Source organism: Homo sapiens, chromosome 8 (genome assembly GCF_000001405.40).
Source record: "Homo sapiens chromosome 8, GRCh38.p14 Primary Assembly".
Taxonomy (NCBI): domain Eukaryota; kingdom Metazoa; phylum Chordata; class Mammalia; order Primates; family Hominidae; genus Homo; species Homo sapiens.
In genome coordinates, this window is record NC_000008.11 from 132,429,869 (window position 1) to 132,452,397 (window position 22,529).

General features: G+C 45.2%; 1 protein-coding gene across 4 annotated transcripts in view; it reads right to left on the bottom strand.

Moving 5' to 3' along the window:
• The window catches only part of KCNQ3 (potassium voltage-gated channel subfamily Q member 3), a 360,235-nt gene that overhangs the window by 309,008 nt on the left and 28,698 nt on the right, over window positions 1-22,529 (bottom strand). The window contains exon 1 of one of the 4 annotated variants that reach the window (XM_011517026.3): window positions 595-18,633. The exons of 2 other annotated variants lie outside the window; for them this stretch is intronic. In XM_011517026.3, the coding sequence (XP_011515328.1) occupies window positions 595-620 (26 nt within the window). In that variant the 5' untranslated portion in view covers window positions 621-18,633. Of the gene's footprint in view, window positions 1-594; window positions 18,634-22,529 lie in introns of those variants that run through there. One more of the 4 variants, NM_001204824.2, reaches the window with a different exon arrangement.

Here is a 22,529-nt window from a genome sequence, read left to right on the forward strand (position 1 = left end):
AAAAAAAAAAAAAAATAGAATGACAGTTTTCCAATCACCTTACCTAGAGTTCCTCTGCTCACACCTTAGACCACTTCCAGAATCAAGTGCTCTAGTTCATTCATTCATTCATTCATTCAAAAAGTGTTTTCTCATTCTCAGACACCTACTCCCTCCCACACCCTGGGCCAAGAACTGGGCAGAGAGGCCTAGGGGTTGCCCTTTCCCTGAGCAGCTGACTGTCATTCCAAAACCATCTCAACCAGAGAGGCCTCTTGGTTCTTTCATGAGCTGTCTCTTCACAGAAATTATGTTTAGTGTGTGCTTTAGATTTAGATTTCCACCCAGATCTTCCTGTATAAGCATCAGGTGAAGTTAGTTTAACAAAGACTAGCCTCGTTCCCATCCAAGACCAAGTAAATAATAATCTCTAAGGTGAAGAAAAGATAAAAATGGGGCATTAGAAATTTTAAAAGGGCCCAAGCAATTCTCACAAGCAGGCCCTTCAGAAGTGACCAAACCAAGCATTTCTGTCATGTCTCAATAATGTGGTAGAGAAAGGTCACTGAGTCAGGAGCCAAAGGTCCCTGTGCCAGCCCTGGGTGTCCCACCAACCTGCTACATGATGTTGAGCAGGTCATTTCCTTCCACTGGGCTCCATTTTCTCCTGTGTGAAATCAAGTGTTGAGCTAATGGATCCATCAGCGGGGCCTTCCCGACTGTCCTAGACCATGAGTCTGTGCAAGTTCTGATCCATTTTTAAACCACTCCTTTCCTGAAGATGAACTTCTGCAGCAGTGAGGAAACCGGTCATCACCAGGAGTTCCTCCCCATGCAGACAGACAATGAGTCTATTTCGGAAACAGAAAGTGTTTGCTCAGCGCAGTGTACCTCTCCCTACAGGACAGAAACGGGAAGATATTTCCATTTAAACTCTCAAAAGCTAATAAATGAACACATCTCAGTGGTGGTTCCGTTTGTCCTTCCTCAACACCTTCCAACATGTTTGTCCCTGATGTCTCCTTGGGACGTCAGTAAAAGGGGGCTCAATAGAGTCGCTCAGCATTGCTGTTCCTCAAGCGTCCATATCCTTCTCTGGCTGCCAACCTGGGGGTTCACTCACTCCTTCCAATTTTCCCTTCTCCCAAGAATACGCTGGACAATGGCAATCTCCTGGTAATCCCCTGGCTTTGTGTCTAAGAGCAGCTCCTCATCTTCCATCTTTGATTGCACTAGGCTCCAGAACCTTCTCCAAGCAGTGCCAAGCCCAGCTCATCCCAGCCTCCTGGAGGCCTCTTGCATCCCTTGAAACCCCAAACACCACGCATCAGGACCCATGTTCCCTACTCTCCCTAGGAGAGTTTGTCCTTGTCACTGATGTGGACCATTCCCATGTGTCACTAGCCGGGGAGAGGATCTCCCTTCCCTCCTGCTGCTACTCACATCAGAATCACATTGTCCCACAGGATCTGGAGGCACTGGGGATGGTAAGAGTGAGTCTTTCAGTTCCAGGCTTGATTCTTGCTGCAACGTTCCAGTAAAACGCCCATCCAGATTCCACCTCCTCAGAGTCGGGGGACACACAGGCATCCCTGGCCAGCTCTGGTCTCTAGGGAGGTCGGTGATGTCCCTGAATCTCCTGGGCCAGCTCATCTCAGAGCTCAGAGCTCAGCGGGAGTCTATCCAGAAAGGCAGGGCCAGCCTCTTCTGTCTCACTGACCCATGGAGCCTGGCTCACCTGAGAGAGGACCCCATGTAAACATATGTATGGGTTGAACTGTGGTTGGTGTGGTCCTTACCAGGTGGCTCCAGGGCCCCCAGACTGGGAGAAGACAGAAATAAACAGTGCTTTCAGGGTGAAACATCTGGGGATTCTTCACTGTCATGGCCTTATTGAAATTGTTTTCATCGTTCCCGCTGGGACCTAGACAAGCAACTCCCTGGGTAGTATCCCAACTTACATGGAGATCCCAGACAGAAGCACACTTAGGCCAGCCCTGTGCTCCCCACCCAGGCACCTGCTGAACTCTTTCCATCCATGATCTTTGACTGGGTCCGGGGGCCTGGATTCACACCTCATTGATAAAACCTAACTGCAGCCTTGTGCAAGTGTCCTCACAGCTCTAGGCATCAATATTGGCTTCTCCAAAGCAATTTAAAGCACATCTCCCTCAGAGGGTTGTTATGAGGGATCATTGAGAACCACAGGTACAACACTTTCTGATTTCATTTAACTGAATTTGATGCTTGTCCAAAGTTTTCCTATTAATTCTCCATTGACTCAAAACAGAAATTCACATCCCCAGGGGACCACTTCATACTTGTCATCATATCAGCAGCACCTGGGATGGGATGGGGCACTTGGCAGGCCCTCAGTGCACGTTTGCAGAGTGAATTGGAATCGAATTAATCAGGATCAGGGAAATAATCCATGGCAACTCAACTCTCCAGTGGTAGAGATATGACCAGCTAAGACATCTAGGGCCTAAGGCAGAAAATGAATACGGCAAAAAAAAAAAAACCTGGAACATAACAAAACTATGATCTGTCAAAATATTGGACAATGTTTTCAAGTCCAGAGGTTAAAACAATCAAAAATGTATTAAATACATTAAAGTTGAACACTCTGGGTTGAAGGACATGCACAATTTTCTGTATTCCAGTATAATAGCTTCACTAGCCTCCTAACTCATCTCCTTCCTTAAGAGGCTTGCCTTTCCATTCCAAACTCGACTCCACAGGCAGAGTGACCCTTCCAGTGCAAAGCCAGTTCTCTCACTCCACTGCTGAAACATTCCCTACTCTGTTAACAGGACTTAGGACTCCATTCATCATCTAGGTCCTGCCTACTTCTTCCCCCTCACATCCTATCTCTGTCATCCACTCTGGACACACTGCACTTACCAAGCAATATTGCAATCCTTCACTTAAAAATGCCTGTCTTCTTCACCAGAATAAAAGCTTCACGAGGGCAAGAATTAGTAGGATGTCTTTCTTGTGCCAGGCACAGGTCAAGAGCTGAAGGAGAATTTGGTGAACAAATGCCCCAGTTCATGCTAAGAATAATTTGCCACCACTTGAAGAGAACACACAAACAGACACGGCAACTACATAACGCCAAATTCTGGGTTAGATAAAATCACAAATGGTCTTTCCTACATGGTAGATGAAGAATCCCCATTCTGAGTTATCATAATTATTGACCTGTTCAATGCCCAAAGAAATTGGGGTCAAAGAATCTTACCATATTGGAGGAGAATTGGAGGAGGCCTCCTGAATTCTCCAGGAGGTTACCTCATACTTTATTGTGAGTGTCTGGATTGGAAATGTCCTAGAAGTCAACCCCACTCATCTGGATCATTAGCCCCTCCCAGTTCAACCCCACTCATCTGGATCATTAGCCCCTCCCAGTTCCTAATTCAATGAAAAGCCACCACTAGCCATTCTGTTCATGAAAAACAACCCCTGACTGATGTGTGAGTTTGTTCTGACCCAGCAGAGAAGGACTGGGAACAGCCAGATGTTTCTCCATTTCCTTTTGTATCTGCTTTCTTTTCAATCCAACAAGAATGTGTTCATCTCTGACCGCAGACACAGCATTCTCATTTCTGAAAATCGCCATGGAGAAATCAACGCCAAGGCCAACACATGTGGGAGTGCTGGATGCTGCCTTTGTGGAAGTTTAGGGCAGCTTATGAGAGTGTACTGAATTGATGATTGCTTTATTTTTGTTAGTATAGATTTTAAAAATAAACTAATAGGCTGGGCACGGTGGCTCACACCTGTAATCCCAGCATTTTGGGAGGCCAAGGCAGGCGGATCACCTGAGATCAGGAGTTCGAGACCAGCCTGGCCAACATGGCAAAAACCCATCTCTACTAAAAGTACCAAAATTAGCTGGATGTGGTGGTGCACACCTGTAATTCCAGCTACTCAGGAGACTGAGACAGGAGAATCACTTGAACCCAGGAGGCGGAGGTTGCAGTGAGCCAAGGTCGTGCCACGGCACTCCAGCCTGAGTGACAGAGCAAGACTCCATCTCAAAACTAAGTAAATAAATAAAATAAAAAATAATAATAGGCCGGGCACGGTGGCTCATGCCTGTAATCCCAGCACTTTGGGAGGCCGAGGCGGGCGGATCACGAGGTCAGGAGATCGAGACCATCCCGGCTAAAACGGTGAAACCCCGTCTCTACTAAAAATATAAAAAATTAGCCGGGCGTAGTGGCGGGCGCCTGTATTCCCAGCTACTTGGGAGGCTGAGGCAGGAGAATGGCGTGAACCCGGGAGGCGGAGCTTGCAGTGAGCCGAGATCCCGCCACTGCACTCCAGCCTGGGTGACAGAGCGAGACTCCGTCTCAAAAAAAAAAAAAAAAAAAATAATAATAATAATAAACAAATATTTCCATGATATTTTTAAGTTGCTAATTTGTGGTCAGTCTTTCCATCATCCATCTCCTCCTCTGTTTTTCTTTGTAGGTTTTATCACTGCTTAACATACTATTAACATTGTCTTACATTTTATATCTATCACCTGCCTGCCACTCCTAACTAGAATGTACAATCTATGAATGAAGAGGTTATTTTTTCTCTTTTGCTCACAGATCTATTCCAAGCACCTAGAACAGTGGCTGGCACATAGTAGATGCTGGAAAAATACTTTCTGAATGAATGAGTCAGTTCATGTGGTCAACCTTCTCAGGTAGGTATTTTTATCTCCATTAGATAAAAGAGAAAATGGAGGCTTAGAGAAGTTAAACTATTTTTGGAGATGATGCCCCAAACTCAAAAGTTTTAAGCAAAATCAAAATGATGTGAATGCAGGAAACTTCAGAGCCATCTCAGATAAGACCAGGAGCTTATAGGACGCTAGAGAGCAATAGTTAGACATGGGCAAGGAAGAATCATGTAGTCAGTATCAAATGTTGTCCACTATGGATGGCAAATGCTGAAAGAGGTAAGAGAAAAATGGATTTGTGAGCCATGGAAACAACAGAAGGCCTCAGAAAGGAGGTGACCCCGGAAGAGGCTGCCTCTTAAAGGCTAGGTAGGGGTCATTATTACTTGAAACCAATTTGAACCTCTGTAAATTTTTCTGAGTCTGAACAGTTTCTGGCCCCAAAGTTCAGCTCTCTTAAACCTATAGCCTACCATAGAAAGGATTCATTCATTCTATACACATTTACTGAGCAGCCACCTAGGTCAGGGGTGCTGCCTCAGTGCTGAGCATGCAAGGATGAACCAGCACAGGCCTGGGTGGGGGACAGCAGCCCCTACACTGACAGTTAAGAAAGGATGTGAGAAGTTCAAGGAGCATGCCCAGGACCTCCTGGACCCAATGCTCCCACTGATCATTATTCTCTTTGTTTTATTTTATTTGATTATTTATCAGTGTATTCACATTTACAGACACAATAGATGCTCAAATATTCTGTGGAATGTAACAGTGAGTAAAGGAATGGTACAAGAACAGGTCTGGGGTCGTTCCAGCAACTGAAGCTCAGAGCCACCGTGCCAGCCGACCAGTTCAGCCAGAGGCGGGGAGGGATCTCCTTACAGCTAAGGAACTAAAGCTCAGAGAGCTTAAGGAATCACTCAGCAAGCATGGGAATCAGGATATTAACCTCCATCTGTGCGACCTTAACCTCTGTAGACTGCCTTTGGTGCATTCAATTTTCAAAGCACCTTTGGGGGATATGTTTGTTATCTCTGCTTTATTGATAAAGGAGCTGAGAGTAATTAGCCCAAAATCAAACTGCGTTCAAACCTAGACCGAGTAGTGAACAGGAGCTCAAGGAAGTAGCGAGAGAGCAAGCATAGACCATTTTTTTCTTCTTTTCCAAATTAAAATTTATATTTATATTTATTTAATTATTTTATTTTATTAAGATGAGGTCTCACTATGTTGCCCTGGCTGGTCTCAAACTCCTGATCTCAAACAATCCTCCCAAAGTGCTGGGATTACAGGTGTGGGCCACCATTTTTTCAAGAACCTCAGGGCGGAAGGCTCTCAGCCTTTATTCACCCCCTAGTCTTGTCCTCATCATTTGGCATTGCAGCCAAGTTTGTATTGCCCCGCCAGCTTCCACGGTCCTGCCCCAGCTCTGCCAGGGTTGGCCCCTGAAAGAGAGGCAGTGTCCAAATTTATTAAATGGCTTTTTTAAAACATCTCATAATGATTACATATTTTTCCATGAAATTTCCTTGCCTTCATTCCAGGAAAAGCATTAATTATGGTCTATAATCAAGATTTTCATGTAATATGCACTCTGTTGACATAATGCCAGATAAAACAACCTTTTTTGAATTAATGTAGTTTCTTAGTTTTTAATTAACTTTAATGTGGAGAAGGGAATTATCAATAAAATTGTAAATACTTAGGTTTGGAAATGAACCTTAATTTTCACATTACCACATTGAAACACTATAAGAGAGTTACATATATAACCTGTTATATCACAGAAGATGCTATAAAATTTTTTAACTTGATCATATAAATCACCATCACTAATAAACATTTTCAATATTTCTTAAGCAGTATCTAGATCCATGCGGAATACCTCAAGTTCTTTTGAATTTTAATGCTTGTACATTATGAGAAAAACTGAAAACAGCAGTATGTTGTTCGACTTTGTTTAAATCTCTCTTCAAATGATACCATACCTTACCTTACAATGAATGAAAAAACAGCTTCTGTAGACACTAACTAGTTTGGGGATTATTTGTACAGGAATCTTCTTCAGGCCAGGCAAATATTTTTGTTTCTTTGTTTCAATGTCCTTATATTTTACTGGAATTTCATTTTTGCTATGTATTTCACGTGAGGTTTTGAGTTTGTTTCTCCACACTTTTAAAGACTCATTTTTAATCCTTAAGAAGTAAAATAGCCAAACTGAAATAATTTTTTAAATTGTGCCAGGAGGATCAGGAAGCCACAGAGAAAACCCTTGGTAGTGGTTAGTTCTCCCTGGGCTCAGTCCTCAGAAGGTAGGGCTGGAAGGGACCTTTTGGGGGTCGCAGATTTCCACCCACTTACTCCAGGCAGCCCAGGTGTCTCTTGTCTTTGGCCTGCTGTCATTTTCAGGACAGGCTTTTCAGGAGTTGGACTAATCTTTTGTGCCAGTTTGCTTCTCTTAAGAGTGGGGTGGTGGGCCGGGCGCGGTGGCTCACGCCTGTAATCCCAGCACTTTGGGAGGCCGAGGCGGGCGGATCACGAGGTCAGGAGATCGAGACCATCCTGGCTAACACGGTGAAACCCCGTCTCTACTAAAAATACAAAAAATTAGCCGGGCGAGGTGGCGGGCACCTGTAGTCCCAGCTACTCGGGAGGCTGAGGCAGGAGAATGGCGTGAACCCCAGGGGGCGGAGCCTGCAGTGAGCCGAGATTGCGCCACTGCACTCCAGCCTGGGCGACAGCGAGACTCCGTCTCAAAAAAAAAATAAAAATAAAAAATAAAAAAAATAAAAAAAAAGAGTGGGGTGGTGTAGGGGACAGGCCTAAGGTTTTAGTTCTGGCATCCACTCATGGCTGGTCTCTGTGCCTCAGTTTCCAAAAATATGAGATGGGGACAGTGGTTCCTCTCCTGCCTCCCTTGCAGGTGAACATGGAATACTGAATGTGCCTGTTCTTTGAAAAGCTAAGTGTCTATTTCTAACATTTAATGTATTAATTTAGTTTACACATAGAAATTTAATACTCTGCATATGTGTTCATTTAGAAATATTTCTAATTTGCCATACTCGTTTGGTGAAACCATTTATTCTTTGATATCACTGTTTCTGATGCCTCTATACACTCTAATTCCTCAACTCAGTTTTCCAGAGCATCCTGTATTCTCATGCACCGTATTTTCATACATCTAGGTTGCTTGGGAGAGATACATCTTTTGAAGCCATCCGTGATGCTGTCACTGAAAACTCTGTCCCAGGCCCCAAATACCCATCCATCTTTGAGGATCCTTACACTATAACCACTAACTCTACTGAGGTTTTTCTTTCATAGATCTTTAAAATAATTGTTCACAGCAGTTTAACTTGCATTTGTAAGAACATTGCCCCAGGAAAAATGATTTAATCCATTAAGCAGCTTTGTGTGTGTGCATGAAGCCAATTCCATTGAGTGACTGCTACAAGTGTCTAAAACTAGCACTACTATGTTTATATCACAGGCAAATGTGCCCCTTCCTCAAAGAACCTGTTGTAACCTGTTGTCACAAAATAAAACAACTGAGATGGTGCCACATAATAAAAATTTTGTAAGGACTCAATTATTAGGTGATTCTTCTTATGAGAAATACATTTAGGAAAAACTGCTTTCTATTATAAGGTGATTCTTCTTATGAGAAATACATTCAGGAAAATTTGCTTTCTATTCAAGTCTGTATTATATAAGACTAGAATTCCTGCCTCTTTCAGGTCCTCAGATACACTGAAGTCTCCTTCTGACATTTGGACCAAGCTGTCTCAATCCTTGGAGCTCCTGGGCTGCTTCCAAATGCAGTAGAAAACAGTGGCAGGATTTAAGGTCTCTGCCCCGATCCCACCCTGCCCATTCCTCCTTCTATCTGAGGAACTTAGGGACTCCACTGGGCCCTCTATTATTTTCCTGAGGAAGAGTTCTGCCTGATTTCTCTGTGGTCTGTGATGACCAACAGGAGATGTGCTCAGAACCCAGAGGCCCTGGCCAGGCTCCTTACCCAAGGGAACCCCTGCAACGTGTGGGTGCGGCTGCTTGGTGATGGACCAGTAACATCTCTGAGAGTGATGATGGATGGTGGTCAGCTGCTAGGAGAGCCCTGGCTTGGGTGGTCTGGTCATTCTCTGTGGCGCTCATGGAGAAAAACTAATACTGTGGAAAGAGACAGCGAGACTGAGCTCAGGTCAATGAAAGGAAATGTGGTCAGCGTAAGACTCTCTAAGGATAGCTGCCGTGTGTTGTTCCCTATCACTAAGAAGGTTCATGAACAGTCTAGGCTACAACTCTCAGGGCTCTTGAAGAAGAGATTCAAGCATTGCATGTGGACTTCTATGAAGTGACCTTAAGGTCCATTCCAGCCAGATGTAACATTTTGTTTAACCATTTCCAGCCTGGCTGAACATTCTGCTATCTAGTGGCAGTCTTCAGCCGCAGTGTGACGGAGGCCAAAAGCAGTTTCTCTTTGTACCTTATTTTCTGAAGAAATCCTATAACCCTGGATGACCCAAATACCCATCCCACTTACGCCAGCTCCCAATACCCCCATACTTCCTACCAAGCTTTATGCCGAACCAATTTTTTCATCTGGGTTTAGATTTCCCACATCCCTAACCCATTCTGGCAAAGTCAAGATTTACCCCTGCTGAGTAACATGACTTCTGGACTGAGCGGCAAACTCATCAGGATAAACCAGACTCCGGAAATTCAATTCATCCCAGCAAACCTTTTTGAAGTCTACTGCACAATTATAAATCTAAGTTTCAGTGCCCATTTTAAAGATGGAAGGCTCAGAGAGATGAAGAGCCACAGTCTCCCAGCAGTTAGGCAGCAGGACCGCGGCTTCATGGCAAGCCCCCTGACTCCCCAGCAGGACTTCTCACTGAGAAAGAAGGTGCTTCCATTAAAGCCTCCATTAAAGATATTCATGTTTTAACCCCCAGAATCTGTGCTATGCTAGGTTACATGGCAAAGGGGAGTCAAGGTTGCTGAAGGAACAAAGTATGGTAATCAGCTGACCCTAAAGAGATGATTCCAGATTACCTAGGTGGGCCCAACACAGCCACAAGGTTCCTTTCCAGCAGAGGAGGGGGCAGAGAGGAGTCAGAGTGAGAGAGAGATTGTGCTGCTGGCTTTCATGATGGTAGAAGGAGCCATGAGCTGAGGAATGCAGGTAGCCTCAAAAGCTGGAAAAAGCAGGGTAACAGGTTCTCTCCAGAGTCCAGAAGGGACACAGCCCTGCTGACACCTTGTTTTACCCCAGTGAGACCTATTTTGGACTTCTGACCTTCAGACATGTAAAATAACAAATTTACACTGCTTTAAGCTGCTAAATTTGTGGTAATTTGTTACACAGAAGTAGGAAACTACAGTCATCCTTCAGTGTCCATAGAGGATTGGTTCTGGGACCTCCTGAGGATATCACAATCCCAGATGCTCAATCCTTAATACAAAGTGGTGTACTATTTGCATAGAACCTGCAAACATCCTTCCGTATACTTTAAATCATCTCTAGATTACTGTAATACCTGATACAATGCAAATGCTATGTCAGTAGTCATTATACTGAATTGTTTCTTTTTAATTTGTGTCATGTTTTATTGCTGTATTGTTCATTTTTATTTTTCTGAATGTTTTCCATTTGCCATTGGTTTGAACTCTTGGATGCCAACAGTCATCTCTGTGGCTCTCTCCTTTACTCATTCCAGTCTCTGCTCAAAGTCATCTTAACAGAGAGAAGCTGCCAGCAGCACAGATGAAGTGCTGCCCTGCACTTGCACAGTCTTTCCACCGTTTTCCCTGCTGTCCTTCATGGCGCTGACCAGGTCCTGCAGTATCAGGCGTCCCCTCATTTCCTGGCATGTGTTTGTCTTCCCACACTAGAACGCAGCCCTGAGGGGTGGCCTTGAGTCCTTCCTTCCCTCTGTGTCCAAGCCCAGAGCCTGGCCCCGCACAGTGTAATGTGCCCTGAAGAGTGAACACATGAATGTGTTGGTCACCGCCCCATTGTGCAGCGTAGTTCTCCATGTCGGTCGTGGGAAACTGAGGCTTGGAGGGGTTACGTGACCCTTTCCCCACGCCACGAAGACAAGGAAGCAGGAGGAGAAAATACACTAACTTTGGACAGCCTCAATCTGGATTCGAACTCCACCTCTGCCCCTTACCAACTGTGCACACACAGGAGGGGGGTTACTAACCCCTTGAAGTCAGCTTCTTCCTGCAACACAGACAGATGCCACTCTGCCACCCTCACAGAATGTTAAAGTGGGCCAAACCCTGCAAAATACATAGCCCAGCCCTATCAAGTCCTATTCAAAGGTGACACTGTATTTATCAGGGACCATGAGTGACCTTCTGCTCAAAGGGGTATGGCATTGCCATCAAGAAATCAGAACTCTGCTTCTCACCTGTTAAGGTTTAGGGCCTGCCAGATATCCGACCTGCACTTAACTCTCTATTCTTATCACAGAAACTGTGGAGTGGATTTGATTAGTTCTATTTTACAGACCAGACAACTGGGGCTCCAAGAGGAGAAGTAACTTACCTGCCCCACATGCCACAGTCAAGACTGGCAGCAATGGTGGGGCCCAGTACACTCTTTCCCACCCCCAACACTTGAAGACCTCAAAAGTAGGTTGATGCCATGTCTTTACTACTGTGAATAGTGTTGCAATGAACATATGTGTGCATGTGTCTTTACAATAGAATGATTAATATTCCTTTGGGTAGGCCAGGTGCAGTGGCTCACGCCTGTAATCCCAGCACTTTGGGAGGCCAAGGCAGGTGGATCACAAGGTCGGGAGATCAAGACCATCCTGGCTAACACAGTGAAACCCCATCTCTATTAAAAATAAAAATAAAAAATTAGCCAGGCGCGGTGGCAGGCACCTGTAGTCCCAGCTACCCGGGAGGCTGAGGCAGGAGAATGGCGTGAACCCGGAAGGCAGAGCTTGCCGTGAGCCGAGATCGCACCACTGCACTCCAGCCTGGGCGATAGAGCGAGACTCTGGCTCCAAAAAAACAAAAATCAAAAAACAAAACAAAACAAACAAACAAACAAACAAATATATATATATATATTCCTTTGGGTATATACCCAGTAATGGGATTGCTGGGTTGAATGGCTTTCTGTCTTTAGGTCTTTGAGGAATTGCCATACTGCCTTCCACAATGGCTAAACTAACTTAAACTCACACCAGCAGTGTATAAGCATTCCTTTTTCTCTGAAATCTCATCAGCATGTCATTTTTTGACGTTTTAATAGCAGCCATTCTGGAATCAACCTAAATATCCGTCAATGATAGACTGAATAAAGAAAATGTGGTACATATACACCACGGAATACTATGGAGCCATAAAAAAAATGAGATCATGTCCTTTTCAGGGACATGGATGGAGCTGGAGGCCATTATCCTCAGCAAACTAACACAGGAACAGAAAAACAAATACTGCATGTTCTCACTTATAAGTGAGAGCTAAATGATTGAGAATACATGGACACACAGAGGCGAACAGCATACACTGCGGTCTTTCAGAGGGTGGAGGTGGGGAGGAGGGAGAGAATCAGGAAAAATAACTAATGGGTACTAGGCTTAATACCTGCTTGATGAAATAATCTGTACAACAAACCCCCATGACACAAGTTTACCTATGTAACAAACTTGTGCTTGTACCCCTGAACTTAAAATGAAAGTTTAAAAAAAGAAAGTAAACCGGATTCTTCCTCCATATGTATCTCAGTTTCAGCATCTGTGAAGCCCACTCTGAGCTGTCCCAGGAGTATAAATCCCTTTATGCATTAGGCACCTCTCCTCTGGAGAGCTTAGCAAGGGGGTAATTTGACATTTATTTTTGTAATTCCTTGATCAATGTCTGTCTCCCCCACCAGGCTACAAACTCCATGGAGCTGCAGAACCATTTGGTGTGGGTTCCCCACTGGTTTCCCTGGTGCCTAGCACAGAGTCTGGCAACGAGTAAGGGCTAAAATGTATTTTCAGAATGCACCAACGGCTGCAAAGATGGACTCTAAATGCCAATGGCAAACTTCTCAAACTCTAGCTTCCAACAAGGTGGGCCAGATTTTCTCCTAGTTCCCCATACAAGCTACCCCGGGGAGCCGCATGAGCTCCTACCCGGGCCTTGGTCTTCAACTGACCTATGAGGTCAAGGCATTCTCTCTCCCAGAAGAAATATCCAGGGCAGAAAAACCACTCCCACAGTGCTCAAAGCATTTCCCTTTGAACATTTTCCTGCTTCTTATTTTATTCATAACCAGGCAACCTGAAGCTTTAACAGGATACATGGTTTTTTCTCTCTTCTAGATTTAGAGAAAAAAATGTTTGAGATATTTTTAACTGACAACACCCAGCCCCTTCTCCCTATGCAACACCCTCTCCCCGAATCTGTGCTCAGACACCCTATCTCAGCCCCAGAGACAGGCTCCTGAGGCCGAAGCAGCTCAGGCCATAAATCCTCATCTGCGGCCGGTAATCCACATGGAGAGAAATGACAAATGCTCTATTTAGCCCTATTTCCAAGGAAATTAGAATTACAAATTGGAGCTATTGCTAAGGCCCCGCTTGAGCATAACCTTTGGAAATAAAGGTAGGGAGGGGGTCGGGGAGGACTGGCATTTGGCTAGCCAATTTCTTTGTCAGGTTAGCTTTTGTAGAAATCCACCCCCACCTATGGGAATCACACCCCTCCCCATCCCTTCCACCCCCAGCACTACCAATTAGAGCCGGTGGCCCAGGAGTATTCGCTCTGGCTTTGTTCACCGCTAAAGGCACCACCAAACCAGGTAAGCAATCACTTCCAGGGAAAGTACAGAAAATTGCTTCTTTAATTGGGTAGTTTCTAGGGCTAAGAATAATTTAATTGAAAACCAGCATTAATGAGAATCAAAAGGTTTTAAAAAGGGGCCTGGATGGAGATGTCCACGTGTCAGAGACAAGTGACAGCCAGAGTTCTCAAAAGATACATGGAGAAAAGGGCTTTGTTAAAAATCCATCATCCCCCACTACCCACACTCCTACCTCACTCCTCCAAACACACCCCTCCCCAGCACAGATACACAAGGCTGATTTGGATGCTTATTTCGAAAAGCTTCATCTCATCTCCAAACCACTGAGAACTACTGGGGTAGATGTTTTTTGTTGCATTTTGTTTCATTTTCTTAATTTTGCAGCCAGTAGTGAAATATAAGGCAAACAGTGTAGATTTCTACGGGGTGAGTTCCAGGAGCCCTGAGTTCAGGTCCCGTTCCAGTACCCACTATGACCCTGGTCAGGTCACCCAGCCCTCTGACACTCTTTACCCCCCCATTTGTCTTATTTACTCAACAACTACTTTCACACAGCTAAGGGCCAAGCATTGTTCTCAGCACTTTATAAATAATAAGTGATTTAATCCTCTTACCAAGCCCCTTGGACAAGCACAGTTCATTGCCCCCTTTTCTTCTTATCAGAAACCCAAGAGGTACCGAGAGGTTCAGAAACTTGCCCACAGTGACACAACTGGCAAGTTATGGAGCTGGGAGTTGAACCCAGCAGTCTGGTTCCAGGGTCCACCTCTGGCAATACACAGAAAGGATGCTACCACTCCATCAACCCCTATTTCCCAAGGGGTGTGAGTGCTCAGAGGACGTGGGTGGGTTGCTGAGCCCATTTATCTCATGTGATTTAGCTCATGCCCCTCTAATCCTTTTGCACCTGTCTCCTGTGTGCTCCCTCCTGCCCTCCTCACCCAGCCACCAACTGGTTCCTGGCATTAAGCTCTGTTTCTGCACTTTGAGTTCTGATTCTGTGCCTTCGTGCTACAACTGGGGTCATCTGTCCTGCCCCGTGTGAAGGGTCTACACTGAATATCGTTGAATCAAGGATTTTATTCCAAATAATGAGGCACAAACTCATAATAAAAAGACAGCATGGTGTGGAGGACAGGAGCTGGTGCTTTGCAGCCCAGCAGCTGGGACTGAACTTAGGAAAATCATGTAACTTTTCTGTGCCTCCACTTCCTTCTTGTAAAAATAAAGGAATAAATAATCAAGCCTACTTCATAGAGTTGTGCAAACTGAGCATGTTAAAATAAGCATAGCTCTACAGAATGCTACGGGGAATGTGGTATGAGACAGATGCACAGTGTGACACAGCTGACCACAGGTCAGTGCTGCTCCGCCAACTGAGCTGCAGGATGGCAGATTGCAGAGAGCGTGGGATTTGGTGGCATTGGACTTTGACTGAATCAGGCATGGGACTCTGTCACATCAATCAGCATCTCCAAGCCTGTTCCTTTTATATAAAATAAAGAGAATAATAATTCCTGCTCACTTCACCTGATTATGAGGATTCGACAAAGCAGAGTGCTTTGTAAATTACAAAGGAACCTAGAAACATTGAGCTTTATTCTTAGAACAAAATTAGTTGGTGAGAAAGTATAAGGAGACTTGGATTTCAGGGTAGTAATATGGGCTAAAGCCTTCAGGGTGTTTCCAGGTAACATGCTCTGCACCCGATCAATATCACCTTGTAATTCTCACAATTCTATGCCTGTTTTATAGACACAAAAACCTAAGGCTCAGAAAGGCAAAAGGACCAACTGGTGTCATGAAAAGGGGTGGACTGACATTTGGAGCCAAGTCCCAAATGCTCTTAATTGTGGCATTACATTGTCACATTCCTGTCACTGTCACTTCATGGGGAAGCAAAGAGCTGGCCTTTCAGAAAGGAAGAGGGTCAGGCCCCAGATCAGGAGAAGGAGAGGCAGCTGTGAGCAAAGGTGAGGAGGAGGAAAGGCAAGGCAGGTCTCCATGGCCCAGGGCAGCACAGCCACGTGGCTTTCCCGCCTCTCTCCTCCAGACTCTGCGTTCACTGTGGGCAGGGACACATTAGCTTGCATTTATTTCCCCCATGCACCTGCCCCATCCCCAACATAAATATTTTTAAGGGAAATCAAGTGAATGAATGAATGATATTACTCAACTGAGGCACTAAGATCAAGTTAAGAAGAAATAAAAAAACGACTCTAATAAGCAGTAAAGCCATGAAGACATCTTCCCCAATCCTCCAAATCAAATTAATTTTCCCTCCTTTGGGCACCCTTAGTTCTTCTGTGATTAGCCCCACCCACCCACCCCAAAAAAACACACAAAAAATCATTATTATTAATATCATTTACTGAGCTCTTACTATGTGTCAGGCATTTCCCATACAGAATCCTATTCAAGTCTCACAACTACCCCATTTCACAGATGAGAAAATCAAGACTCACCAAGGTTACAGAACTGGGCTAGGTCATACGGTTAGTAAACCCTTGGTTTCATCTCAAGTCTCTGTTTCTGAGGCTAGAACTCAGCTGTTTCTCTACATCCCTATCTGTCTGCCTATTAAACACTTTATAATTTTCCAAGCAAGAAGTCCATCTTACATGCCCATATGCCCGGGATACCTTGCACAATGCTGGGCACAGAGTAGTGTGCTCCATGGGCATTTGCAGAGCTGAACTGTATTTAATCATCTGTGTCTATTCAAAGGCTGAGGTCTTTATCAGATGGGAGCCCAGAAGGGATAAGCTGGGTTACTGTTTGCCTCTCCAAGCAGAAAAAGAACCAGATGACCTCCTGGTACATGTTTATTGCTAACGGCCCTGCAGTGGCTTCCACAACATGCCTCAGCCTGGATCCACCAACCTTAAGCTACTCTAAAGACAATGCCTTCGTGGTGGCCAACAAGATTAGCACCCAATTAATAACTAATTTTGGAAAGACTGTGCAAAACAGCTTGGCAAACTGCATCATGCCACACATTAGCTTGACCTGAGAGCACCCTGCCTGGAAATGAACAGATCAAAGGGGCTGAAAACATGAGCTTGGGAGACCCGGACTCTGCTCTCCTTGGCTGCTGGGAATCTGTGTGTCCTTAAGCAAACTCCCTCCTTCCCTGGGTTCAGGTTCTTCGTCCTTTAAGCTGAAAAGCAGAGCTAGACTGGGAAGACCTCTTCCAGGTCCAAAATTCTAGAGCTCCGGGATACAATTAAAGCCAAGCAAGGCAACCAGGATGAGTCTATGTGTCAGCAAAAATTCCCAGGCAATGCTAATTACTGGCACTTAACCAACTCATAGTTAACTCCAGGTAATTTCCAGAGGATTTATTACAACTCTGAATGCTATTTTGTGAGGGAAGCAATGTATATTTAATATTGACAGTACAGGAGGCAAGTTCCCTTTCTCCAAGCCCATAAATTATCCCAGGCGACGGGAGGACAAAACTACCAAAGGCTTGTTACAAGCAGGCTGCCTCCCAAACAGAAATCAGGCTTAATAGAAAACAATAAAAAAGATGTAGGAGGAGACGAATTTAAAGCCAGAAGCACGTGAGTGGTGTGTGAGACAGCATGTATGTGTGTATGTGAATGGCCTCAGAAAATCAAACGATAGAAGTCAGAGAGGAATGTCCAATTCATCTCATTACCATTAGGGTAGCTTCCTGTTCAATCCCACAACAAACATTTCCTGAGCCCCTTCTGGGAACCCAGGGTGAGTCACATCAGACTTGGTCCCCAAATAAGCTATGCATGTGGCTCTTTCCCTCTCCCCCTGGGACTCTGAGTCCATCTTAGGATGCTCTGTTTTCATATCCCCAAAATGAGAATCCAAAGACTTACATCGTGGCGTGTTCTGCAGGCTTCATAAGGTAATGAATGCAAGAACAAGATTTTTAACAAGTGGTGGTAACACAGCTAGAAATAACCCTAAAGCAGGGCAGAATGGGCAGACAAGGGTCAAGATAAAGGTACCAGAGAAAACCACAGGCAGACAGTAAAGGTTTCTAGGACACAGATGTGGAGAAGACACTGCAAGAAAGAAGAAAAGGAAGAAGGTGGGGAAGAGGTGGTGGAGGGGTACCTGTGCGTGGGCCACACAGTGATTGGCTGTGTGTGAGGAAAGAGACTGAAAAAAAACAGGAGAAAGAAAAGTAATGGAGATTAAAGAAAAAGAAGGAGCAGAGTAGCGGGTGAGCTGGGTTATGGGAGAGAGAGAAGAAGAAAAGAGGACGTAAACCATAAGGGAGATAAGATAAAACAGAAAATCAATAGAAGTGCCTAAAGTTGATTCATCAAGAGACAGCGCCACGAGCGCATGATTTAGAGATGCAGGAGAACCACCAGGAGTTCTAAGGACAGAAAGAACGAGACTGCCTCTGGGGAAGGGGCTGTGGCTTTTCATTTTTAACCTGCCTTCCTATATGACTTTGGGCTTGAATATATGTATGTATTCCTCTGATAGAAATAAAAATAATTGAAAGCATTTTTAAGAGATGGAAACAGAAGTTACCACGGCGTAAGTACTACCTGCTGGGCATCACCCCCAGCGACTTATAAATACCATCTCATATTTGTCATCCCAACCACACTACAGCGTAACCAAATCCCCTTTTCATTTTCCTTTAGCTGCACTTACTTTGTGGGGGCTGTTGTGAGGATTGAAAGAGCACAGGTAAGCAGCTACAAATGTGCCTGGAAAATGCAAATGCTCAATAAACGTTCCTTCCTATTGTCAAAGAATTTGACAAGCACTCCTCCTTTTTCCTGGGAGCTATTCTGCCCCCTGTTTTGTAGCAGCTGTCATGCCATCTTATGATCCTTTCACCCAAAGACACAGGTGGGGAATAAGGGTTCTGCAGTAGGCACCTGAACCCAGCTAAGTCAGTGGGTCCCTAACTTAGGAAGGCAATTACTTTTCTTCACTGTAAAGCCACACCCCTCACTCAGGCCTTCTTGATCTCCTTTGGGGTCCATGAGCAAGCAAGATCCCTGGGACGCCTCAGCTGGTTTAAGATGGGTTTCTGCTACCAGCCTCTGAAAGTGTCAAGGGAGTTCAAAAGCAAACGTCATGTAGGCGTAGGTCTCTCCAGGGCTTTCCCAGAACAAGAAGCTGAGCTCTAAGGGGGAAGAAGGAGAAATATGAAAAAAAAAAAAAAAAAAAAAGAGGAAGAAGAAGAAAACAAAAGAAAAAGTAAAAAGGAGGAGGAGGAAGGATGTGCTTGCAGTGAATTCTGCGTTTTGATTGTTGCTATTTTATAGCTAGGAAAAACTAAGCAAAAGCAATCTCTGGTCACAGCTAGAAAACTATTATTTGCGTTTCTATCTTTCCAACCCACGATCTGTGCCATTTGGATTTCATGGTCTAAAAATATCTCCCAAACTTCCAAGTATGTTGGCATGGGTTGATGGACTTAAATTTTTAATCCATTTGTAAATGTTTTCACACAGCTCTTTTTTCCCTCTCAAATTCTATTTCTTGCTGAATCACTTCCATCATTTAGTTTGGCATTTATTTGAGCAGGAAGGAAATCATCTTGAACACAAATGTCAGCCCTGGCCCCGAAGGCTCCTGAGAGAGAAAAAAGGCCAACACGGGTTAGAGACTGGTGAGGTTGCCACGGTACGGCAGGAAGAGCACCGGCTTCGGTGTAGACTATTCTGGTTGCATCTGGCTGTGTGACCCTGAGCAAAATATTGGACCTCTCTGAGCATGTTCTTCAGCTACGATGTGGGGATAATGAAATTCAGTTTAACAGTGTTTGTAGCCATTCAGTGGGTTAGAGCCCCATGTGTACCTCCTAGCACAAGGCAGGAGCTTAGTAAATGGCCTCATTGTGAATTTTAGGTGTCATCTTGAAATGTGTCTTGTAAAGACCATGTGTATGCCTGCCTCCGCATCCCTTCTCCAGCCAATGGCAGAGTCACTCTTGCAAAACACAAATCTGATCATGCCACTCCCGACCGTGAAACCCAGTGGCCACAGGATCGGATTACAGTGTTCACTGTAGACCACTGTGGTCTACAGTGAACATAGTACAGTGGTCAATTTCCCATCCCCCCTCCACACCAGCCTCTCCAACTGCCTGCCCTCCAACCTCCCAGCAGGATGCTCCTACTCTGCCTCTCATGGTTCTGATTTCCAGTTCAGGTCCTCCAGCTCAGCCACTCCCTTTTCCCACCTCTCTAGACCCCCACAGGAAAACACATCTCTGATGGTATTCCCTCTGGAGCCCTCAGATTCACCCCCCACACCATTGGCCCTGCCTGGGTCATGTGCTTACTCCTGTACCTGTCATCATTGTCAGGTGAGGCCAGCTGATCCCAAACAATGAAGTGAAGAATAGGAAGGAATTAAGTCCCCAAAGTAAAATCATGGACTGCTTGGTGGGAGAGCTGGGGGCTACATGTGGGAGGCAAGGATCAAGGGTCAAGGCTAGTTTCCACGGATGAGCAAGGGACAGTTAAGAACCACTGAGGCCTTAAAGTTTTACAAACTGAGAAATTAAGGTACAAGATGGGCCCATAGCAAGCCCAAGTTCATGCCAGGCCATCACCCAGGGTCCAGCCCCCAACTCTAGCCCTCTTCCCACTGTGTCCAGAGTTGGTGCCTTCCACTGGGTTCACAGTCTTGCTGACTTTAAGAATGAAGCCGTGGACCTCCGTGGTGAGTGTTACAGCTCTTAAAGGTGGCATGGACCCAAAGAGTGAGCAACAGGAAGATTTATTGTGAAGAGCAAAAGCACAAAGCTTCCACAGCATGGAAGGGGACCCGAGTGGGTTGCCACTGCTGGCTGGGGTGGCCACTGCTGGCTGGGGTGGCCAGCTTTTATTCCCTTATTTGTCCCCACCCATGTCCTGCTGATTGGTCCATTTTACAGAGTGCTGATTGGTCCATTTTACAGAGTGTTGATTGGCCTATTTTACAAACCTCTAGCTAGCCACAGAGTGCTGATTGTGCATTTTTCCAGGGCACTGATTGGCACATTTTACAAACCTCTAGCTAGCCACAGAGCGCTGATTGGTGCATTTTACAATCCTAACTACAGAGTGCTGATTGGTGCATTTTATAATCCTCTTGTAAGACAGAAAAGTTCTCCAAGTCCCCACTCGACCCAGGAAGTCCAGCTGGCTTCACCTCTCACCTCCGTACTGCCAACACCTTCCCCCTCCCCCAGGAAAACAGCTTCATGATTAAATCAATTTTGCAATCAGCAGTTCCAGCCACAGGTTCCATAGCAGGATGTGAGGAATGGTTTCTGAAGATGAAGTGGAAGGGCTACAGGGCACTGAGGGGCAGGCATCACACCATCTCCCACAGGCAGGCCCACCAGAGTCAGGCCCAATGCAGGTGAATGCCCTTTGAGCCGAAGAGGAAGAAGGAGCTCACATGCTTGTTCTCCTTCTAGGGAAGCCTCAGCACTCCAGCTTTCCCTCCTTTCCTCATCATCACCGTCCTCCCTTCTCTGCCCTTCAATGGACGACTGGGGCAAGGGAAGGGGGTGAGAGAAAAGAAAAGCAGAACTGAAAAAGGACATCAAAGGATGGGTTGATTAGAAAGCTCTTTCCAGAGAAGGATGGAATGTCTAGAAATAACGTCTGTGATGCCCTTTGTTCTGAGCCTTTCTGAAGAGCTTTTACTCATCGCTCAAGATCAGTAATATGGTTTGGCTCTGTGTCCCCACCCAAATCTCACCTTGAATGGTAATAATCCCCATGTTCCATGGGAGGGACCCGGTGGGAGGTAACTGAATCATGGGGGTGGGTTTATCTTGTGCTTTCTCATGATAGTGAATCAGCCTCATGAGATGTGACAATTTTATAAAGGGGAGTTCCCCTGCACATGCTGTCTTGCCTGCTGCCATGTAAAACGTGACTTTGCTTCTCCTTTGCCTTCTGCCATGATTGTGAGGCCTCCCCAGCCACGTGGAACTGTGAGTCCATTAAACCTTTTTCCTTTATAAATTACCCAGTCTCAGCTATGTCTTTATTAGCAATGTGAGAACAAACTAACACAATCGGGCTCAAGAAGCATCTCCTTTGGGAAGACTTTCTTAATGCACCATCCACCACGGGCAGACGTTATCCTGTCCCTCCTCTATGCCCACTGGCCTGAGACACACTGCACATTCTATTTGTGTGACTGTCCCCACAGCTTGCATTTTCCAGAATAGGAAATCAGTAGGTGCTCACTAAATATTCAATGAATTGGCTAAGGATGCAGATGTACAAAGTGCAGGGAAGAAGAAGATTTAGTCATGCAATAAACAGAAATGTAGGTGCAGGAAGGAAGAAAGGCGTCTATTCACACAGGACTCCAACGCTGGAGCAGCAGAGGATGAGTTTTGCAGAGAGTCACAGCACACATCTATCAATGGATAACTGTTGCAAATATTCACCCACGACATTTTCTCCATTTAACTGATGAGATGAGATCTGATGTCTCCAGGCCTTAAAATAGGACAGGAGCAGCGGGAAGGTGGGGAGAGAGGACAAGCTTGGATGTTTGGATGTTCGGTCAGCCTGTAGTTTCAAGCGGCCTCAACTGGGACAGGTCAAGAGAAAAATGGGACATTTTCAAATGAAGTTCTTTTTTTTGCAGAACTAAACACCCTGGAGTTGGAGGGCACCTTTAAAGTCACTGGGCCCAAACACTCACAGTGGTATGTGGTTTCTCACACCGCAGCCAAGGGTTGGGTTTTTCGTTTGTTTGTCACTGTGCTAAAATATACATAACATAAATTTTTATCATTTTAACCATTTTTAAGTATGCAATTCAGTGGCATTAACCACATTCGCATCGTTGTGCAACCATCACCTCTATCCACCTCCCAAACATTTTCATCCCCCCAAAATGAAACACTGTTTCCATCGAGCAATAGCTCCACCTTCTCTGCTTCCTCCAGCCCCTGGCAACCACCGCCCCACTCTCTATTTCTATGAATTAAACTCCTCTAGGTGCCTCTTTTAAGTGGAGCCATGCAGTATTTTTCCTTTTGTGTCTGCCTTATTTCACTTAGCCTCATGTCCTCAGGGTTCA